Source organism: Homo sapiens, chromosome 17 (genome assembly GCF_000001405.40).
Source record: "Homo sapiens chromosome 17, GRCh38.p14 Primary Assembly".
NCBI classification, from domain to species: domain Eukaryota; kingdom Metazoa; phylum Chordata; class Mammalia; order Primates; family Hominidae; genus Homo; species Homo sapiens.
In genome coordinates, this window is record NC_000017.11 from 44,823,627 (window position 1) to 44,844,794 (window position 21,168).

General features: G+C 48.7%; 1 protein-coding gene across 9 annotated transcripts in view, besides 3 other annotated features; it reads right to left on the reverse strand.

Moving 5' to 3' along the window:
- Positions 1-7,738, reverse strand: part of GJC1 (gap junction protein gamma 1) — a 37,261-nt gene extending 29,523 nt beyond the window's left edge. For 3 of the 9 annotated variants that reach the window (XR_934346.4, XM_024450527.2, NM_001080383.2), the window contains exon 1: positions 7,012-7,208. The gene's annotated coding sequence lies outside the window, so the exon portion shown is untranslated. Of the gene's footprint in view, positions 1-5,885; positions 6,199-6,435; positions 6,662-7,011; positions 7,209-7,714 lie in introns of those variants that run through there. The other 6 variants (XR_007065255.1, XM_047435079.1, XM_047435078.1 and 3 more) reach the window with 4 other exon arrangements.
- Positions 5,974-6,263: a silencer, noted in NCBI's record as "silent region_8602". NCBI's record gives its function as "represses an Ori minimal core promoter by ATAC-STARR-seq in GM12878 lymphoblastoid cells {active_cell/tissue: GM12878}" and the evidence as "EXISTENCE:reporter gene assay evidence [ECO:0000049][PMID:35858748]".
- Positions 6,319-7,292: an enhancer, noted in NCBI's record as "OCT4-NANOG-H3K27ac hESC enhancer chr17:42907313-42908286 (GRCh37/hg19 assembly coordinates)". NCBI's record gives its function as "activates a minimal SCP1, AML or CMV promoter by ChIP-STARR-seq in naive and primed H9 embryonic stem cells {active_cell/tissue: H9 hESC(naive and primed)}" and the evidence as "EXISTENCE:reporter gene assay evidence [ECO:0000049][PMID:30033119]".
- Positions 7,293-8,266: an enhancer, noted in NCBI's record as "OCT4-NANOG-H3K27ac-H3K4me1 hESC enhancer chr17:42908287-42909260 (GRCh37/hg19 assembly coordinates)". NCBI's record gives its function as "activates a minimal SCP1, AML or CMV promoter by ChIP-STARR-seq in primed H9 embryonic stem cells {active_cell/tissue: H9 hESC(primed)}" and the evidence as "EXISTENCE:reporter gene assay evidence [ECO:0000049][PMID:30033119]".

Here is a 21,168-nt window from a genome sequence, read left to right on the forward strand (position 1 = left end):
TCCTGGACTCAAGCAATCCTCCTGCCATGACCTCCAGAAGAGCTGTGATTACTGGTGTGAGGCACCATGCCTGGCCTTTCTTTCCTTTCCTTTTTTTTTTTTTGAGATGGAGTCTTGTTCTGTCGCCTAGCCTGGAGTGCAGTGGCACAATCTTAGCTCACTGCAACCTCTGCCTCCCAGGTTCAAGCGATTCTCCTGCCGCAGCCTCCTAAGTAGCTGGGACTACTGGCGTGTGCCACCACACCTGGCTAATTTTTTGTATTTTTAGTAGAGACGGGGTTTCACGGTGTTAGCCAGGATGGTCTCGATCTCCTGATCTCATGACCTGCCCACCTCGGCCTCCCAAAGTGATGGGATTACAAGGCGTGAGTCACTGTGCCTGGCCCTCTTTTCGTTTTTTGAGATGGAGTCTTGCTCTGTTGCCAGGCTGGAGTGCAGCGGCACAATCTCAGCTCACTGCAACCTCCACCTCCCGGGTTCAAGCGATTCCCCTGCCTCAGCCTCCAGAGTAGTTGGGATTACAGGCGCGCGCCACCATGCCCGGCTAATTTTTTGTATTTTAGTAGAGATAGGGTTTCACCATGTTGGCCAGGATGGTCTCGAACTCCTGACCTTGTGACCTGCCTGCCTCGGCCTACCAAAGTGCTGGGATTACAGGTGTGAGCCACCGCACCCGGCCTCTTTTTTCAAATAGAGACTGTCCCACTCTGTTGACCAGGGTGGAGTGCATGGTGTGATCACAACTCACTGTAGCCTTCAACTTCTGGGCTCAAAAAATCCTCCTGCCTCATCCTCCTGAGTAGCTGAAACCACAGGTGTATGCCACCACATCCAGCTAATTTTCAAATTACTTTTTGCAGAGACAGGGCCCTCACTATGTTGCCCAGGGTGGTCTCAAACTCCTGGGCTCAAGGTATCCTCTAGCCTCAGCCTCCGAAAGTGCTGGGAGTACATGTGTGCCACTGCACTCCAGACTGGGTGACACAGTGAGGCTCTGTCTCAAAAATAAAATAAATAAAATAAAATCAGTCAAATTAGCCAGGCGTGGCAGCATGCGCCAGTAGTCCCAATTACTTGGGAGGCTGAGGCAGGAGAATTGCTTGAACCTGGGAGGCAGAGGTTGCAGCGAGCCGAGATCGCACCACTGCAACTCCAGCCTGGATGACAGAACAAGACTGTCTTAAAAAAAAAAAAAAAAAAATTAGTCAAGTGCAATAGTGAGAAGGGGGGGAAAGAAAGAGTCCAACTATTTTTTTTTTTTAATCAAGTGCTTATATGTTTTGGGGAAGAAAAAAAAAAAAAAAACGTTGGGATCCAGGTGCCTTGGCCTGTAATCCCCATATTTGAGAGGCCAAGAGGACTGCTTGAGCCCAGGAGTTCAAGACCAGCCTGGGCAACAAAACAAGACCCTGTCTCTTCCAAAAAAAATTTTAAAATTAACTGGGCGTGGTGGCGGTGTGGGCCTGTGGTCCCAGCTACTAGGGATGCTGTGGTGGAAGGATCGCTTGAGAGCACCACTACACTTTAGCCTGGGCTACAGAACAAGACTCTGTCTCAATTACAAAAAAAAAAAAAAAAAAAAAAAAAAAAAGGCTGGGCGCAGTGGCTCATGCCTGTAATCCCAGCACTTTGGGAGACCGAGGCAGGTGGATCACCTGAGGTCAGGAGACCAGCCTGACCAACATGGAGAAACCCTGTCTCTACCAATACAAAATTAGCTGGGCATGGTGGTGCATGCCTGTAATCCCAGCTACTTGGGAGGCTGAGGCAAGAGAATCTTGCCCAGGGGGCAGAGGTTGCGGTGAGCCGAGATTGCGCGACTGCACTCCAGCCTAGGCAACAAGAGCAAAACTCCGTCTCAAAAAAATAAAAAGGGCCAGACACAGTGGTTCGCGTCTGTAATCCCAGCACTTTGAGAGGCTGAGGCAACCTGAGGTCAGGAGTTCGAGACCAGCCTAGCCAACATGGTGAAACCCTTTCTCTACTAAAAATACAAAAATTAGCTGGGCGTGGTGGTGGACACCTATAATCCCAGCTTCTCGCAAGGCTGAGGCAAGAGAATTCCTTGAACCTGGGAGACGGAGGTTGCAGTGAGCCAAGATCGTGCCACTGCACTCCACCCTGGGTGAAAGAGTGAGACTCAGTCTCAAAAGAAAAAAAAAAAAAAAGTTGAATGACTTAATGGGCACCAGAATGCTTTTGTCCAAATTGTGCTTGTATTACAAGCATTATAGCCTCAAAGAACAAAGCTTCAACTGAGAGCTGGAGAAGAATTCATTTACCAGAATACTTCATTTCTTTCTTTTTATTTTGAGACAGAGTCTCGCTCTGTCGCCCAGGCTGGAGAGCAGTGATGCGATCTCGGCTAACTGCAACCTCCACCTCCCAGGTTCAAGCCATTTGCCTGCCTCAGCCTCCCGAGTAGCTGGGATTACAGATGACTGCCACCACGCCCAGGTAATTTTTTGTACTTTTAGTAGAAATGGGATTTCACCATGTTGGCTAGGCTGGTCTTGAACTCCTGACCTCAGGTGATCCACCCGCCTTGGCCTCCCAAAGTGCTGGGATTATAAGCATCAGCCACCACTCCTGGCCCCATTTCATTTCTTTAGAAGTAAAATGCTGGCCGGGCACGGTGGCTCACGACTGTAACCCCAGCATTTTGGGAGGCCGAGGTGGCCGGATCATGAGATCAGGAGATCGAGACCATCCTGGTTAACACGATGAAACAGTCTCTACTAAAAATACAAAAAATTAGCCGGGCATGGTGGTGGACGCCTGTAGTCCCAGCTACACAGGAGGCTGAGGCAGGAGAATGGCATGAACTCGGGAGGTGGAGCTTGTGGTGAGCAGAGATCACGCCACTGCACTCCAGCCTGGGCAATGGAGCGAGACTCCGTCTAAAAAAAAAAAAAAAAAGTAAAATGCTATCTGCAAAGAGATCATCATATCCTTGTTTTAGGAAAACTCTTTGGGCAATATATTCCACAGGTCTGAAAGATAAACCTTTATTGCCAAGGACTGCTCTCAGCCAACTACAGTACTTGTAAAATTCAAGAATGTATAACTGTATGCCAGCCAGTACTGACTAACAGGTCATTCACTCTTTAGAGTTGCAGTAAATAGCAATGCTCAAACGCCCAGCTAGTTTTTTGTATTTAAAATTATTTGTATTTAAATCTTAAAAAATATTTTTAAAAATACATTTTACTAGGTTCTTATTTCAACACAAACTGAACTCATCAGCTGTAGCAGTATGTTGAAAAACAACTGTTGCCATTCAGCTGATATTAACAGCTCAGAACTGTTTTCTATGTCTAAATTTCAGGTTAACGATATCAGCCAAAATCTATCTTCTCATACCTATTCTCAAAGGAACGGTCTTACAAAACTAATAATCTGGTCGAGTGCGGTGGCTCACACCTGTAATCCCAGCACTCTGGAAGGCAGAGGCAGGCGGATCACCTAATGTCAAGAGTTGGAGACCAGCCTGACCAACATGGTGAAACCCCGTCTCTACTAAAAAATACAAAATTAGCTGGGCATGGTGGGGCATTCCTGTAATCCCAGCTACTTGGGAGGCTGAGGCATGAGAATCACTTGAACTCGGGAGGCGGAGGTTGCAGTGAGACAAGATAGCACCGTTGCAGTGAGACAAGATAGCACCATTGCACTCCAGCCTGGGCAATAAGAGCTAAACTCCGTCTCAAAAACAAACAAACAAAAAAAAAAAATTCCTGCTTTTTCTTTGCCTAAATTTTTATCAAATATTTTGAACAGAAGCCACATGTATTTCTACACTACAAGAAAAGCATAAGTTCAGAAATAAGTAATCATACCCCCTAGTCAAACTTAACTATAGGAAGGAAGGACAGGACAGGACAGGAAAGGAGGAGAAAAAAGAAATTAGCTGGGTATACTCAGGAGGCTGAGGCAGGAGGATGGCTTGAGCCCAGGAATTTGAGGCTGCAGTGTACTATGACAGCCTGGGCATCATAGCAATGTCTTTGAAAAAAAAAAGGATGGCCGGGCACGGTGGCTCACGCCTGTAATCCCAGCACTCTGGGAGGCCGAGGCGGGAGGATCACAAGGTCAGGAGATCGGGACCATCATGGCTAACATGGTGAAACCCCATCTCTGCTAAAACTACAAAAAAAAATTAGCCAGGCGTGGTGGCGGGTACCTGTAGTCCCAGCCACTGCACTCTAGCCTGGGCGACAGAGCAAGACTCCATCTCAAAAAAAAAAGGAAAAGGAAAAAGAAAAAAGAACACACCTCACCAATTTTGAAATGTGAACATACAACAAATAAAGCAATATTTTTTGGAACTCATCACTTTGCATTGAATTAGGCATGGAACAAACACTAAGCATTTGTTAAGAGAACGATGCTCTGGATTTAAATTATATATCCTGTATTCTAAGATCCTCATTACTCAATTGATAGGCAAGCCTGGACCTGGGGGGAAGTGGACTAATCAGAAACACAACCCTGCATTCCTTCCCTTTGGCTGACTTATACAAATATAAGAATAAAATTTAATTGACAAAGGATAACAGCATTTATAAGTAAGATTGTTATGCTGGAGATATGTTAATTAAGTCCTCTGGATTAAAGGCTAAAACTCAATTTTACCTGCATGAATTGATTACAGAGAAAATTACCAGGTCCTTTGCTCCTTTTTAAGAGAACTGTGGTAGAACTTTTTAAGAGAACTGTTTCTGGTAGAAAACAATTCTTAAGTCACACAACCTCAAAAGTTAAAAGTGCTGGCTTTTGAAGAGGTTGTTTGAAATGCTTTGGAAAAATGCACAACAGTTTAAGTAGTAAATAATATTAAGCCATTACAAATCAGGACAAATATTAACAGACCTTCCATACAACTTCTATGTATCTCTTCAATATGCCCTTTGCCTACAGCACTCTGGGCACAAAAATCTGGGGAAAACTAAGATCTGTTTATTGGAGCTTTTTACCTTCTACCCAGAAAAGTTAGTTCGTGTTTAATTCTGACATTACACAGTACTTAAGACATTCAAAGCAACTGCAGTGATACAACTCTATGCTAAGTTTTTTTTAAATCAGTAAACTTAACCCACAACTCACAATATTTTAATCAGGAGCTCTGGAAGTAAGGGTATTTTTCTGTTTTTTTCCATACCCTCTGAGGTTGAAATTTTTTTGCTCTTTTACTCTGAATAATACCTAAACCCTCTCTAGGGAGAGAAATATTTTATTCCTAAATGACATTATTAACGCATTTTTCTACAGATATTAAAGTACTGGAGATATGCTGTTTCCTGCTTATCAGGAAATTAAAATCCCTTTCATTTATGTAGTTTGATTTTTTATAGCGCTTTCACATATATTCACTTGAACGTATACACGACACAAACATATAACAAATTTAGACTTATCAGGCATACAAGATGACCCTCAGCCTGAACTTATTCAAACTTAACTTACTCGATTTCACATCGTCTTGATGCTAACAAAATTAAGCATGAGCATAATGAAATCGGTATCACTGCCAGTTCTCAATGAACAAAAAGAAAACCAAATTCGCCCATTTCGCAAAGGAAAAGTACTCCCAATCAGACAATCGCAAAAAAAAGAACAAAATCTAAACCATACATTCACGTACATCTTTTCAACTCAGAGCTCCAAACGCAGCCGCCAACCACACAACTGCCCACAATCACAGCGGTAGCGCCTACTCTTAATTTTGAAGCTAGAGACTTAAGGAAACACACACACACACAAAACAGTTCTCAAGTTTGACAAAGTGGGGGAAAAGTCATTTTAAGTAAAGACAACGAGTTAATCAGGAGGCGATGAGCCCAGTCCTTCCGCCCCGCTTTCCCGCTTCCAGCCCTCGAACGAACCCTCCTCTAACCCCCGGGAGGCAGGAGTTCCAGCGGGGAGATGCGGGAAGCCTCAGACGAGCCCGCACGCCGCCGGAGACGCAGGGATCGAGGTCGGGGAGACAAAGAGCAGCCCGCGAAGAGCCCGGGCGGCGAGGGGCGGCCCGGCTCCGCCCTGCGCCCCTAACCGCCCGGGTAGTTGTCGGCACCGCCGGGGCGCCGCCGAGTGCGCGCCGCTTCTGTCCGGGCTCCCCGACCGTCGCCCGACACCTCCGCGGCCCAGGACACCCCCGAGCCGTTTCCCTCCCGATTTGGGAGCCGCGCGCCTGGGGACAAAGAGGGAGGGTGCGCCGGGGACAGTGGCAGGACGCGGGCCGGCGACGCCCCTCCGGACTCGGCGGGAACCCCTCGGCGGCGCCCCCCTCCTTCTCCCGCTCTGGCCGCGCTCCTCCCCGGACCTCCGGAGGTTCTCCTCGGCCCCTCCCCGGGCTCCCCAAGAGTTCTCCCGCCTCCCCCTGGGACCCCGCCCCTGGCCCGCTTCTCCTCAGCCGGCCCTGCGGCCGCCCCTCACCCGGCGGCGGGTTCCCCCGGAGCCGCCTCCTCCGCCGGGCCTCGGCCCGTCCCGCCGGTCGCGGCCTCATGTGCCCCGCGTCGCCATCGCCTTCACCCTCGCCTCTCCTCCACCTCCTCCGCCGCTGCCGCCTTCGCCTCAGTCTCCAGCCGAGGCAGAAGCCGCTCCCGCCGCTGCCGCCGCCGCCGCCGCCTCCCGCTCCCGCCGCCGCGACCCGCGGGAAGGCGCCTGCGCACTGCGCGCTGCGGTGGGGGCGGGGGCGTCCCGCCGCGGCCCGGGAGCGGGGGGCGCGCGGCACGTGGCGCTCGAGTGGGAGGGGGGCGCCCCAGAACGCGCGGGAAGCGACGCGAGCGCCAACTTTCCGCGGTCGAGTCCTCGCCGCTCTCTCGGATAGTCCGGGACGCGGCGGAGGCGCGGCGCGCGTGGGAGTCACCCGCGTGGAGTCTGGACCCCGGGTGGGCGCAGACTTCGCTCCGGACAGTTCATTCTTCCAAGCTGATTTTCGGGCGAGAGTCCCCCGCCAGCCGCGCCTCAGTTTGAGCGGGCCGCTAACGGCGCCGTGGGTTCTCGCCTTACCTGGGTATCCTGGGTTGGTTTAGCGGGCCCAGAGTTGTCTTCTGCGCGCTCCGCCGAGGCCTTGGTCCATTGTAGCACGGGATGCTAATGTCTCCTCCCAGGTTCTGCTCTACAATTCCTCGAGGATCTGGCGGGCCCTGCGTGGATCTAGCTAGAGTCGGGGCTCTTAGCAGTGCTCTAGATACTTTTCAGGTCCTGAACTTCTCGGATTAGCAAGACCCTAATAGGCTATTTCCTCTTAACTCTTTGCATCCCAGCAGGATCCCATTCAGAGGACTTGGGAAAAATTTTCATGCATAGGAATCCCCAGTTTTAAAATGCCCAGTAGGAAACCGAAAATTCTCCAAATGCTTTAAGTAGAGTAAGACTTTGGGTAATAAAGGAAGGCTCAGTAAAGAGATGGGCGACCTCTGGAATGATCTCATCTGAGCATCAGAATGCCGATGGACAGGCTTTTATTATTTTGCCCTTTTGACCAGAGGGGAAATTAAGCGCTAACAAGTGAGGTTACTTGCTGCAAGTCAAACTCCCCCACCCAAAGCCAAGCCCTAAGGGGTAGCCCCAGAGTGGAAATCTTGAAGGCTAGGCATCTAATGCACTGACCAGTTTTGTGTGGCCAGTATGTTTTCCAAAAATATGAATTAGTTACCAAAATATTAAAATCCAGATTTCTGGCCTCCCTAAAAAGTCAAAAGCTGCTTACTTTGAGCTTCTCTTTTCACATGGCAGCTCCTCTTGAGTCACCTTGTCCGGGTAGGCAATGTCCCCACTCAGCTGCTTAAATCATTTCATGACCTGCTTGGCCTCGGAGCATTTAAGTACTTCTCCCTGTGATTGCTGTAGTCTGTCCCCACGCCTTATCACATTGCCTCTCTACAGATGTATTTAAAATGACAAGTGTGGGATGGGCGCGGTGGCTCACGCCTGTAATTCCAGCACTTTGGGAGGCCTAGGCAGGCGGATTGCTTGAGCCCTGGGGTTCCAGACCAGCCTGGACAATATGGCAAAACCCCCATCTCTACAAAAAATACAAAAATTAGCCGGGTGTGGTGACGCGCACCTGTGATCCTAGCTACTCCAAGCATGAGGTGGGAGGATCGCTTGAGCCCGGGAGGTCAAGGCTGCAGTAAGCTGAGATAGCGCCACTGCACTCCAGCCTGAGCGACAGAGTGAGACCCTGTCTCAAAAAAATAAGTGAAAAAAATAAAATGACCAGGGTGAAAACTCTGAAAATACCTGGAAATAATAAATAGCATGTAACTAAAATAACACAGGAAACAACATCATTGTACCTGTTGAATAAAATATTAAAATTCTCACAGCCTGCAACTGTAAACTAGTACAAATAACTTTTTTGTTTTGTTTTGTTTTGAGGGAGAGTCTCACTCTGTCGCCAGGCTGGAGTGCAGTGGGCGCCATCTAGGCTCACTGCAAGCTCCACCTCCCCGGTTCAAGCAATTCTCCTGCCTCAGCCTCCCGAGTAGCTGGGACTACAGGCGCACGCAACCACGCCCAACTAATTTTTGTATTTTTAGTAGAGACAGGGTTTCACCATGTTGGCCAGGATGGTCTCGATCTCCTGACCTTGTGATCCGCCTGCCTCGGCCTCCCAAAGTGCTGGGATTACAGGCATGAGCCACCGTGCCTGGCCTAAATCACTTTGTTGTTGTTTTTGCAACAGAGTCTCACTCTGTCGCCCACGCTGGAGTGCAGTGGGGTGATCTCGGCTCACTGCGATGTCCGCCTCCCAGGTTCAAAAGATTCTACTACCTCAGCCTCCGGAGTAGCTGGGAATACAGGTGCCCGCCATCATGCCTGGCTAATTTTTGTATTTTTAGTAGAAAGGGGGTTTCACCATGTTGGCCAGGCTGGTCTCAAATCCTGACCTCAAGTGATCTGCCCGCCTTGGCCTCCCAAAGAGCTGGGATTACAGACATGAGCCACCGTGCCCAGCGGACTTTGCAAAACTGGCAATATCTACTGTTGAGGCTCAGAAAATGATTTCCCAGGGCGTGGTGGCTGTAGTCCCAGCTACTCAGGAAACTGCAGTGGGCTATGATTATGCCACTACACTCCAGCCTGGAAGACAGAGCGAGACCCCATCTCTTTAAAAAAGAAAGAAAGAAAACAATATCCCAAAGTATGGAGCTTTGGCGTGCTGAGTGCTTTGAACTAAAGGAGATTGGAAGGCCTCAGAAGCAAAGTCTCTCTCTGACCTTCTCCTGCCCTCCTGTCTCCCGCCCCTTTCTCCCCTGAAGCGAGTCATAGAAATAAAAATTCCTCTTCCCCAAGGCGGGTCATAGAAACTAGAACCCCTCTCCCCCAAAGCAAGCCATAAAACCAGAAAGGTCACTCTCCCCCTTCTCTCCTCCCCCTTGAAGACCCTCATTCCAGAGGAACCAGGAAGGAATACCCTGGAGGAAGGAATGTTACACTGGGAAGCCAAGAAGAATTTGAACCGACAAGCCTTGTTGGGTTCCCCGCTCAGTCTGTTAAATTAGATCATACCCCTTTTGTCTGATCACATTCTGCTTGTCCATTCTGCATTGAACCTAAGCATAAAAACAATTGTTCTAGGGTATTGAGGGTGTGTGTGTGTGTGTGTGTGTGTGTGTGTGAGAGAGAGAGAGAGAGAGACCGGGTCTCTCTCCATCACCCAGGCTGGAGTGCAGTGGCATGATCTCGGCTCACTGCAACCTCCGCCTCCCAGGTTCAACTGATTCTCATGCCTCAGCCTCCCAAGCAGCTGGGACTACAGGCGCACACCACCACGCCCGGCTAATTTTTTTTGTATTTTTAGTAGAGACTGGTTTTCACTATGTTGGTGAGGCTGGTCTTGAACTCCTGACCTCGTGATCCACCCGCCTAGGCCTCCCAAAGTGCTGGGATTACAGGTGTGAGCCACCGCACTCGGCCCTTTGAGGTCTTAATTTCCGAAGTCTCTTGTGTTACATAAAACTTTGGTTAAATAACTTGGTTATGCCCTTCTCTTGTTAATCTGGGTTTTGTTATAGGAGTGTCAGCTGTGATCCTTATGATGGATGAGGAAAGGTGTCACACCTTTCCGCCACTACACTACTAAAGCTGAACCTATGAATACACTATGCCTTTGGAATTCCATGGCAATTCCACGAAAATGTGTACAAATGTTCACCAAAATACTTGTACTAGAGTATTCATAGCAGCACTATTTATAATAAGTCAAAAAACTAGAAACTACCCAAAATGCCTGTCAACCGTAGAATGGCTAAATTGTGTTACGTACATTATGCTGCAATGAAAATGAACAATCTACATTTACACATAAGATGGATCTCACAAAAGTTTTCATTTACAAAAACTTCAAAAACAGACAAAACTGGCCAGGTGCTGTGGCTCATGCCTGTTATCCCAGCGCTTAGGGAGGCCAAGGTGGGCGGATCACTTGAGCTCAGTAGTTCAAGACCAGCCTTAGCAACATGGCAAAACCTTACCTCTACAAAAAATACAAAAATTAGCCAGGCATGGTTGCATGTGCCTGGAGTCTCAGCTACTCCAGAGGCTGAGGTGGTGAGGTGGGAAGATCACTTGAGCTGGGGAAGTTGAGGCTGCAGTGAGCTGTGATTGTGCCACTGAACCACTGCACCACTGCACTCCAGCCTGGGTTACAGAGCAAGACCGCGTTTAAAAAAAAACAAAACAACAACAACAAAAAAAAAAAACAAGCAAAACTAATCCATGCCGTTAGAAGTAGGGACAGTTGGCCAGGCGCGGTGGCTCACGCCTGTAATCCCAGCACTCTGGGAGGCCGAGGGGAGCAGATCACCTAAGGTCAGGAGTTCAAGACCAGCCTGGCTAACATGGTGAAAACCCATTTCTACTAAAAATACAAAAAATTAGATGGGTGTGGTGGCGCATGCCTGTAATCCCAGCTACTCAGGAGGCTGAGGCAGGAGAATTGCTTGAACCTGGGAGGCAGAGGTTGCAGTGAGCTGAGATCATGCCATTGCACTGCAGCTTGGGGCAACAAGAGCAAAACTCAAAAAAAAAAAAAAAAGAAGTAGTAAGGTGCAGTGGCTCACGCCTGTAATCCCAGCACTAAACCCCGTCTCTACTAAAAATACAAAAATTAGCTGGGCGTGGTGGCGCATGCCTGTAATCCCAGCTACTCCGGAGGCTGAGACGAGAATTGCTTGAACCAGGGAGTTGGAGGTTACAGTGAGTGGAGATTGTGCCACTGCACTCCAGCCTGGGTATAGAGCAAGGCTCCGTCTCAAAAAAAGAAGAAGTAAGGCCAGTGGGCTGGGCACAGTGGCTCACGCCTATGATCCCAGCACTTTGGGAGGGTGAGGCAGGTGGATCACCTGAGGTCAGAAGTTTGAGACCAGCCTGGCTAACATGGTGAAACCCCATTTCTACTAAAAATACAAAAAATTAGCTGGGCGTGGTGGTGTGAGCCTGTAATCCCTGCTACTTGGGAGGCTGAGTTGGAGGTTGCAGTGAGCCGAGATTGCGCCACTGCACTCCAGCCTGGGGACAGAGCAAGACTTGGTCTCAAAAAAAAAATTAGAAGGATAGTGGGCTGGGCACAGTGCCTCACACCTGTAATCCCAGCATTTTGGGAGGATGAGGCAGGTGGATCACCTGAGGTCAGGAGTTCGAGACCAGCCTGACCAATATGGTGAAACTCTGTCTCTACTAAAAATACAAAAATTAGCTGGGTGTGGTGGCATGCGTCTGTGAGAACTGCTTGAACCCAGGAGGCAGAGGTTGCAGTGAGCCAAGCTCCCGCCACTGTACTCCAGCCTGGGTGACAGAGTAAGACTCTGTCTCAAAAAAAAAAAAAAAAGAAAGAGAGAAGTAAGGAAGGATAGTGGTTACTTGGCAGGCAGGATAGTTACTGGAAAGGAGCATGAGGGGTTTTTGGGGGGCTGGCCTTGTTCTGTTGAAACTGCCTTTGCAAAAATCATGACAGTGAGAAAAATCTGACACAGGCTGGGGACGGTGGCTCATGCCTGTAATCCCAAGCATTTTGGGAGGCTGAGGTGGTGGATCACCTAAGGTCAGGAGTTCGAGACCAGCCTGGACAACATGGTGAAACCCCATCTCTACTAAAAATACAAAAAATTAGCCGGGCGTGGTGGTGGATGCCTGTAATCTCAGCTACTCGGGAGGCTGAGGCAGGAGAACTGCTTGAACCCAGGAGGTGGAGGTTGCAGTGAGCCAAGATTGCGCCATTGCACTCCAGCCTGGGTGACAGAGCAAGACTCTGTCTTAAATAAATAAATACATAAATAAAATAAAATAAAATAAAATACAAAAGAAGTAGCCGGGAGTGGTTGCACATGCCTGCAATCCCAGCTACTTGGCACGAGAATTGCTTGAACCCAGGAGGCGGAGGTTGCAGTAAGCAAAGATCTCGCCACTGCACTCTAGCCTGGGCAACAGAGAGAGACTGTCTCAAAAAACAACAACAAAAAGAAAAATCTGACACAGGAAAATTACAACAGTGAAAGAGATCTGACCTAACCGACTCCATCTTACTTTTAACCTCCAAGCTGCCCTTGTTCATTCCTGGGAATAGGCTGAGTTCTCCATGGGAGGAATTGACTTTATAATTTAATTTGGAAACAAAGACGATAAGAGTCCCTTCCCAAAATAAATCCCTTCTGCCTGGGGACCAGACTGCCTTTGTAGAACTAGCAAATCAGCTATAAGATTAGAAATTAGGGGCCAGGCCGGTGGCTCACACCTGTAATCGGAGCACTTTGGGAGGCCGAGGCAGGCGGATCACCTGAGGTCAGGAGTTCAAGACCAGCCTGACCAACATGGAGAAACCCTGCCTCTACTGAAAATACAAAAAAATTAGCTGGGCGTGGTGGCGCATGCCTATAATCCCAGCTACCCGGGAGGCTGAGGCAGGAGAATCGATTGAACCCGGGAGGCAGAGGTTGCGGTGAGCCGAGACCGCACCGTTGCACTCCAGCCTGGGCAACAAGAGTGAAACTCCATCTCAAAACAAAAAAAAAAAATTAGAAATTAGGGCTCAGGAGTCATGCAGCCAGAGGCCATGAGATTCCTAACCTCAGCCGGGCACGGTGGCTCACGCCTGTAATCCCAGAACTTTGGGAGGCCGAGGTGGGTGGATCACGAGGTCAGGAGATCGAGACCATCCTGACTAACAAGGTGAAACCCCGTCTCTACTAAAAATACAAAAAATTAGCCGGGCGTGGTGGCGGGCGCTTGTGGTCCCAGCTACTCGGGAGGCTGAGGCAGGAGAATGGCGTGAACCCGGGAGGTGGAGCTTGCAGTGAGCCAAGATGGCGCCACTGCACTCCAGCCTGGGTGACAGAGTGAGACTCTGTCTCAAAAAAAAAAAAAAAAAGATTCCTAACCTCTCCAATTGCTCCTTTGCTCCTATGGATGACATTACTATTATAAAACCCGATATTGGCCAGCATGGTGGCTCACGACTGTAATCCCAACGCTTTGAGAGGGTAGGGTGAGTGGAGCACATGGGCCCAGGAGTTCGAGACCAGCTTGGGCAATATGGTGAAACCCTGTTTTTACTAAAAAAAAAAAAAAAAAAGATGTAGCTGGGCGTGGTGGCACACATCTGTAGTCCCAGATACTTGGGAGGCAGAGCAGGGAGGATCTCCTAAGCCCAGGGAGGCTGAGGCTGCAGTGAGCCATGATCACACACTGTACTCCAGCCTGGGTGATAGAGTGACAGCCTGTCTCAAAAAAAAAAAAATCCTGAGATTGGTATGAGATATTTTTTCAGATCCTGCATTCTGAGGCACCAGCTGGTGCCACCCAGATCAGTAAACTGGCTCAACTAGTTCTGGATGCCACCCAGGAATGGAAGACAGCTTCAACCCCCTATGATTTCATCCCCAACCCAACCATCAGCATTCCCCACTCCCTAGCCCCCTGCCCGCCAAATTATCCTTAAAAAACCCTAGTCTCTGAATTTTGGGGGAGACTGATTTGAGTAATAAACTCTAGTCTCTCATGTAGCCACCTCTACATTCATTAAACTCTTTCTCTATTGGGAAAACCTGCTGTTTGCAGTGCATCAGCTTTTCTGGGTAGCGGGCAAGATGAACTCTTCAGGCAGTTCACTGTTCTTGAGCTGGGCGCTGAATACACAGGTGTGTTCAGTTAGTACACTGACCTGCATACTTGGTTGATTTGTTTTCTTTTTCTTCTTCTTTTTTTTTTTTTTTTTTTTGAGATGGATTCTCATTCTATCGCCCAGGTTGGAGTGCAATGGCGCAATCTCAGCTCACTGCAACCTCCGCCTCCCAGGTTCAAGCTATTATCCTGCTTCGGGCTCCTGAGTAGCTGGGGGCTACAGGTGCGCACCACCACACCTGACTAATTTTTGTATTGTTAGTAGACGAGGTTTCACCATGTTGGCCAGGATGGTCTCAAACTCCTGACCTCAGGTGATCCACCTGCCTCAGCCTCTCAGAGTGATGGGATTACAGGCATGAGCCACCGAGCCTGGCCTGTTTGTTTTCTTGAGACAGAGTCTCACTCTGTCACCCAGGCTGGAGTGCAGTGGCACCATCTCGGATCACTGCAACCTCCATCTCCCGGGTTCAACTGATTCTCCTGTCTTAGCCTCCTGAGTAGCTTGATTACAGGTGTGTGCCACCACACCCGGCTAATTTTTGTATTTTTAGTAAATACAGGGTTTCACCATGTTGGCCAGAAGTGATCTTCCCCCTGCCCCACCGCTGCCCCCCCTCCCAAAGTGCTGGGATCACACGCATGAGCCACCACGCCTGGCTGAGCTGCATACTTTTGATGGTGTGCTTTTCTGTGGCATATTAAGACAAATGAAAACCTTTAGGCCGGACGTGGTGGCTCATGACTGTAATCCCAGCACTTTGGGAGGCCGAGGTAGGCAGATCACAAGGTCAGGAGATTGAGACCATCCTGGCTAACACGGTGAAACCCTGTCTCTACTAAAAATACAAAAAAAATTAGCCGAGTGTGGTGGCGGACGCCTGTAGTCCCAGCTACTGGGGAGGCTGAGGCAAGAGAATGGCGTGAACCCGGGAGGTGGAGCTTGCAGTGAGCCAGCCTGGGTGGCAGAGCGAGACTCCGTCTCAATAAAAAAAAAACCTTTAAGGTCAGGCACAGTGGCTCATGCCTATAATCCCAGCACTTTGGGAGGCCAAGGCGGGTGTATCACATGAGCTCAGGAGTTCAAGACCAGCCTGGCCAACACAGCAAAACCCTGTCTACTAAAAATACAAAAAAGTTAGTCAGGCATGGTGGTGCATGCCTGTAGTCTCAGCTACTTGGGAGGCTGAGGCAGGAAAATGGCTTGAACCCAGGAGGCAGAGGTTGGTTGCAGCGAGCCGAGATCACACCACTGCACTCTAGCCTGGCAAGAGAGGGAGACTGTCTCAAAAAAAACCTTTAAAATGGTATTAAAACATTTGATTATATATATATATGTGTGTGTGTGTGTGTGTGTATATATATATATATAAAACTATAAATATATAAATGTATTTTTATATATACAAATGTTCATTAGGTATTATTTTCCCATAGATTCATGAATGAATCTGGAAGGGAAAACTCCCCATCTTTTATTGTTGCCTATTTTTTTTTTCTTTTACTTTTTGTTTTCTTTGAGACAGGGTCTCACTCTGTTGCCCAGGCTGGTTGCAGCAGCGTGATCACAGCTCACCACAGCCTCAACTGCCTAGGCTCAAATGATCCTCCCACCTCAGCCTTCCGAGTAGCTGGAACTACAGGCATGCGCCACCATGCCGGGCTAATTTTTTTTATTTTTAGTAGAGACAAGGTATCCCTATGTTGCCCAGGCTGGTCTCGAACTCCTGAGCTCAGTCAATCCTCCTGCCTCCCCCTCCCAAAATGCATTGCGTATTCTTTCTTCCTAGAGATTGGGAACAATACATTCATTTACTTTCCTTTTTTTTTTTTTTTTGAGACGGAGTCTCACTCTCTTGCCCAGGCTGGAGTGCAGTGGCGCGATCTCGGCTCATTGCAAGCTCCGTCTCCCGGGTTCATGCCATTCTCCTGCCTCAGCCTCGGGAGTAGCTGGGACTACAGGTGCCCGCCACCATGCCTGGCTAATTTTTTGTATTTTTAGTAGAGATGGGGTTTCACCGTGTTAGCCAGGATGGTCTCGATCTCCTGACCTCATGATCCGCCCACCTTGGCCTCCCAAATTGCTGGGATTACAGGCGTGAGCCACCGCACCGGGCAATACATCTACTTTCTAATTTGTTACCTTATTACCAAGCCACCAAGCCTGCAGCTCTGTCTCCCTTCTGATAGAGCAACGTTTCTTTTTTTGTTTTGAGACGGAGTTTTGCTCTTGTTGCCCAGGCTGGAGTGCAATAGCGTGATCGCAGCTCACTGCAACCTCCACCTTCTGGGTTTAAGCGATTCTCCTGCCTCAGCCTCCCTAACATCTGGGATTACAGGCACGAGCCACCACGCCCACTAATTTTGTATTTTTAGTAGAGACAGGATTTCGCCATGTTGGCCAGGCTGGTTTCGAACTCCTGACCTCAGGTGATCCACCCGCCTCAGCCTCCCAAAGTGTTGGGATTACAGGCGTGAGCCACCATGTCCGGCCACTTGTAGATACTTTAAAAAACAAGTAGGCTGGCCACGGTGGCTCACGCTTATAATCTCAGCACTTCGGGAGGCCAAAGTGGGAGGATTGCTTAAGCCCAGGAGTTTGAGACCAGCCTGGGCAACTTAGTGAAACCCTGTCTCTACAAAAAATGTAAAAATGAACAGGTTTTGTGGCCTGCACCTGTAGTCCCAACTACTTGGGAGGATCGTTTGAGCACAGGAAGTTGAGGCTGCACTCTAGCCTGGGGCTGTACTCTAGCCTAGGCAACAGAGCAGAGCAAGGCCCTGTCTCAAAAACAAACAAACAAACAAACAAAAAACCCCCAAAAAACCCCAAAACCTAAAATATAACCTAAGGCTCTTGTCTTCTAGTCAAGACTTCTTTCTCTCCTCTACCACCTTGGCAGCTAGTGATTTCCTTTAATCCCATTACTGGTGGGGAAACTGAGGTCAGAATTCCAGGGTAGAGGCTCTTGGGCCCAGGCATTCGCCAGGATATGGAGCAAACCAGGGTGTCTGCTACAACGTGAGCTCCCCGAAGGCAGGGGCACTGTGTCCCAGCTCCTGGAACAGAGGCCAGCAAATTGTAGGTACTTAGGAAGTATATGCTGAGTGAATAAGTGAATGAAGGCTCACCATCCCTAGAAGAAGAAAGACCACTGCTGGAGGGAAGGGGAAAAAAGCTGTAAGTTTCAAACAGGGAAATGGATCTCATTTCCAGCCTTTGGCAGAGAGTGGTACAGCTGGGTGCTATGAGAACCACATCACTTTTAATCCACATGGGGCTCAGGCAGGAAAGGATCAAAACCCAATTTGAGAACTTGAGAGTCGCCCTGGGGCTCTGTGGTTTGGGAACAGTAGGGTCAATCTGAAGGCTGCAATGTGTCACTATTTCCATTACACACTTTCCAGGGTCCCCACTTGGCTGGTAAACTCAGAGCAGATTCTTCTGTCTTGAAAGATGGAAAGAGGCCCAGAGAGGTAAATTTTTTTTTTTTTTTGAGATGGAGTCTCACTGTGTCACCCAGTCTGGAGTGCAATGGTGGATCTCGGCTCACTGCAACCTCTGCCTCCTGGGTTCAAGCGATTCTCCTGCCTCAGACTCCTGAGTAGCTGGGATTACAGGCGCACACTGCCACGCTTGGCTAATTTTTTGTATTTTTAGTAGAGATGGGGTTTCACTGTTCTCCAGGCTGGTCTCGAACTCCTGAGCTCAGGCAATCCACCCGCCTCAGCTTCCCAAAGTGCTAGGATAACAGGCGCTCATGAGCCACTGAGCCCGGCCCAGAAAAAGTTTTGAGAATGCTGCTTGTTGGGAACAGGGGAGTCCTGCCTGCCCCAGACTGGCTGGATAGTAAGAACTGTTAAAGAAGTTATTGATTAGTCTTGCCAGGCGCGGTGCCTCATGCCTGTAATCCCAGCACTCTGGGAGGCGGAGGTTGGTGGATCACGAGGTCAGGAGTTCGAGACCAGTCTGTCCAATATAGTGAAACCCCATCTCTGCTAAAAATTGAAAAAAATTAGCTGGGTGTGGTGGTATGCACCTGTAATCCCAGCTACTTGGAAGGCTGAAGCAGGAGAATCACGTGAACCCAGGAGGCGGAGGTTGCAGTGAGCTGAGATCACGCCACTGCACTCCCGCCTGGGTGACAGTGTGAGACTCTATCTCAAAAAAAAAAAAAAAAAAAAAAGAGAGAGAAGTTATTGATTACTCCTGCTAATGGGAGAGAGGTATTAGTGGGAAACACCACCCTCCCTCTCCACTAATCCCAGCAGTTTCAGTTAACCTGTGGGACACATTATACTGCTTCTCCCTGCCCCTGCCCACAGGGATGTTGACTGAACCAGATTTTTTTGTTGTCAAAAAAGTTCTTTTGGCCAGGTGTGGTGGCTCATGCCTGTAATCCCAGCACTTTGGGAGGCCAAGCCGGGTGGATCACCTGAGATCAGGAGTTCAAGACCACACTGGCCAACATGGTGACCGTCTCTACCCAAAAAGACAAAAACTAGCTGGGTAGTCCCAGCTACTCGGGAGGCTGAGGCAGGAGAATTGCTTGAAGCCGGGAGGTGGAGGTTGCAGTGAGCACCACTGCACTCCAGCCTGGGCGACAGAGTGAGACTCTGTCTCAGAAAAAAAAAAAAATTAAATTAAAAAATATGTGAAGTCTTCTCAGAAAGATTATTGGATACCAAAGGTACTTTCTGGCTTCAGGCCTGTGGCCCTTGGGGCTGTCCTTGGACAAATGCTAGGAGGTCCTTGGAACTCAATGCCTGTTTATAAAAGGGTGGGGGGTGGGGGGTGGGGGTGTTACAGACAGCCTCCACCAGGAAGCGGCCTCAGCCTAGCCATATTATCTAGAAACTTCCACTGCCTGTTCCTGTTACTCCACTCCTTACCCTTCAAGTGCCCCAGACACAACTATATCCCCTAATGTTTTCTCCCCTCTGATTCTCCCAGCCTTTCAACCCCATTTCTTCCCATTCCAACCCCAACTAGGAGCATCCTCTGTCCCCTAGTCTATTCTCCATCATGCCCTCACTTACAGCTCCCATTAGCTCAAGGCAAAAGCTGCTTGTCCCTCCCCTCCCAGTCACTCGCTCCCTTGGGCTATAAATAGCATAGCTGTGCCTTAGATCGTGTTGAGAGCTTTAAGACTTAGTCCCCCTTCCCCCCATCCCTTCCCCTTTAACACAACAGGGAGAACAAGCCTAAAGCTTCCAGTTAGGGTGGGCAAGCCCAAGAAGGAGGGGGTCCGGGGGAAGGGAATGAGAAAAGCTGTGCTGAATTCGGAACCACACAGAATATGGTAACTTTGCCATCTGTTGTCAGGGACTCTCCGCTTTTCCCCCAGCCTGCTACCCATTCCCTGCCACTTGCTCCTGGAGGAAGAGGAGCAGCAGGAGTTAGCAGAATTCTAACAATTCTCTTTTAACCCTTGCGATCATCCTATGGGCAGGTGCTATCTTGATTTTACCAATGAAGCCAAAGACTCTAAGAGATTAAATGGCATAACCCAATATTTAGAGTGGTTGGTCTGTGGGCTAACTGATCCCACGTCTGACTTTTGCCTATGCTAAGTCTGTCCGCATCATTGATTTAGGCCCCTCTAAATCAGAATTTCTATTGATGTGACCTGATTTGGAAGAAAAAGAGGTCTCCTAAACAAATTACTAATGTAGCAATGCATAAATGGAAAACATTAAAGACTCGGCATGTTCACAAAAATGATGCTATCATAATTTTATCTTATCTGTTTACTAAAGCAGGACTCTACAAAAATCTGTTCCTTGAAGTTTTTTTTAGTTACTGTATGTTCTCAGAAGTTTTTGAAATACAAAGCAATTTTACTTCTTCTATTTCAAGATTTGCCCTCCACTTTACATTCTCTCAAGTTAGTCCTGAGTAGTGAGTTAGAAGTCTGGTCTTTTTTCTGTCACTTACTGTTGGGCAAAACGCTTAATGGAGCCCCAGTTTTTTGCCTGTGAAGTGCGGATAATAATAGCACCTACCTCATTGCTATCGTGAGAATTAATCTACACAAAGGAGGCCGGGCATGGTGGCTCACGCCTATATTCCCAGCACTTTGGGAGGCCGAGGTGGGTGGATCACTTTGAGGCCAGGAGTTCGACACCAGCCTAGCCAACAGGGTGAAACCCCATCTTTACTAAAAATACAAAAATTAGCCAGGCGTGGTGGCATGTGCCTGTAATCCCAGCTACTCAGGAAGCTGAGGCTGGAGGATCCCTTGAGCCCAAGAGTTCAAGGCTGCAGTGTGCTTTGATTACCACCACACTCCAGCCTGGGTGACAGAGTGAGACTCTGTCTCAAAACAAAACAAAACAAAAACAAAGCAATTAGCACACTGCTTGGCCCATAGAAGGTGCTCAGTAAATCACAGCAATTATTATTATTTCTCAGCTGTGGGAATTATTATTATTCCCACAGCTGAGATGCTGTGGGAACATCACCATCATTTCAGTAGGGAGAAGCTGAACTTCACTATCCGTGGTTTGGCTCCTGTTCTTCAAAGGACTTGGAGTTGATCCTGTTTCCTGCCCTGTCTTATCCAGACATTTTCATCCCCCTTTTTCTGGCCTAGACCAGTAAGGGAATATACCATCCATCTCCTGAGAATTCAGGCCACTGCTGGAACCTGGAGAGGCAGCAAAGGAGGGTGTGTGTGAAAGGCTGGGAGGAGAGTTCCCATGGACACTGGGGACATGTGAAGGCCCTGGGGAGTTGCTGTGACCCTGGGTCTCTGCCTAGAGCAGTGAATGCTGGGGAGAAAAAAGGACATCATCTGCCAAACAAATTTCCAGTGCTGCAGAGCCCCTTTAGGATAAACACACAGGGCTGAGTAATCTAGGGAAGAAACAAAGGCCTGGGATAGAGTGGGATCTCCCTAGCACACCCTATCTTTTTCCATTTGCTTAGCACATACTTTTTCTTCTCCTAAACAAGGGTGCCAGGATATACTAGCATTCCTAAGCTTCAGTATTCATCTGGAAAGGGCTTCCGTTTAACCAGCCCCCTGGAGGTTAGTA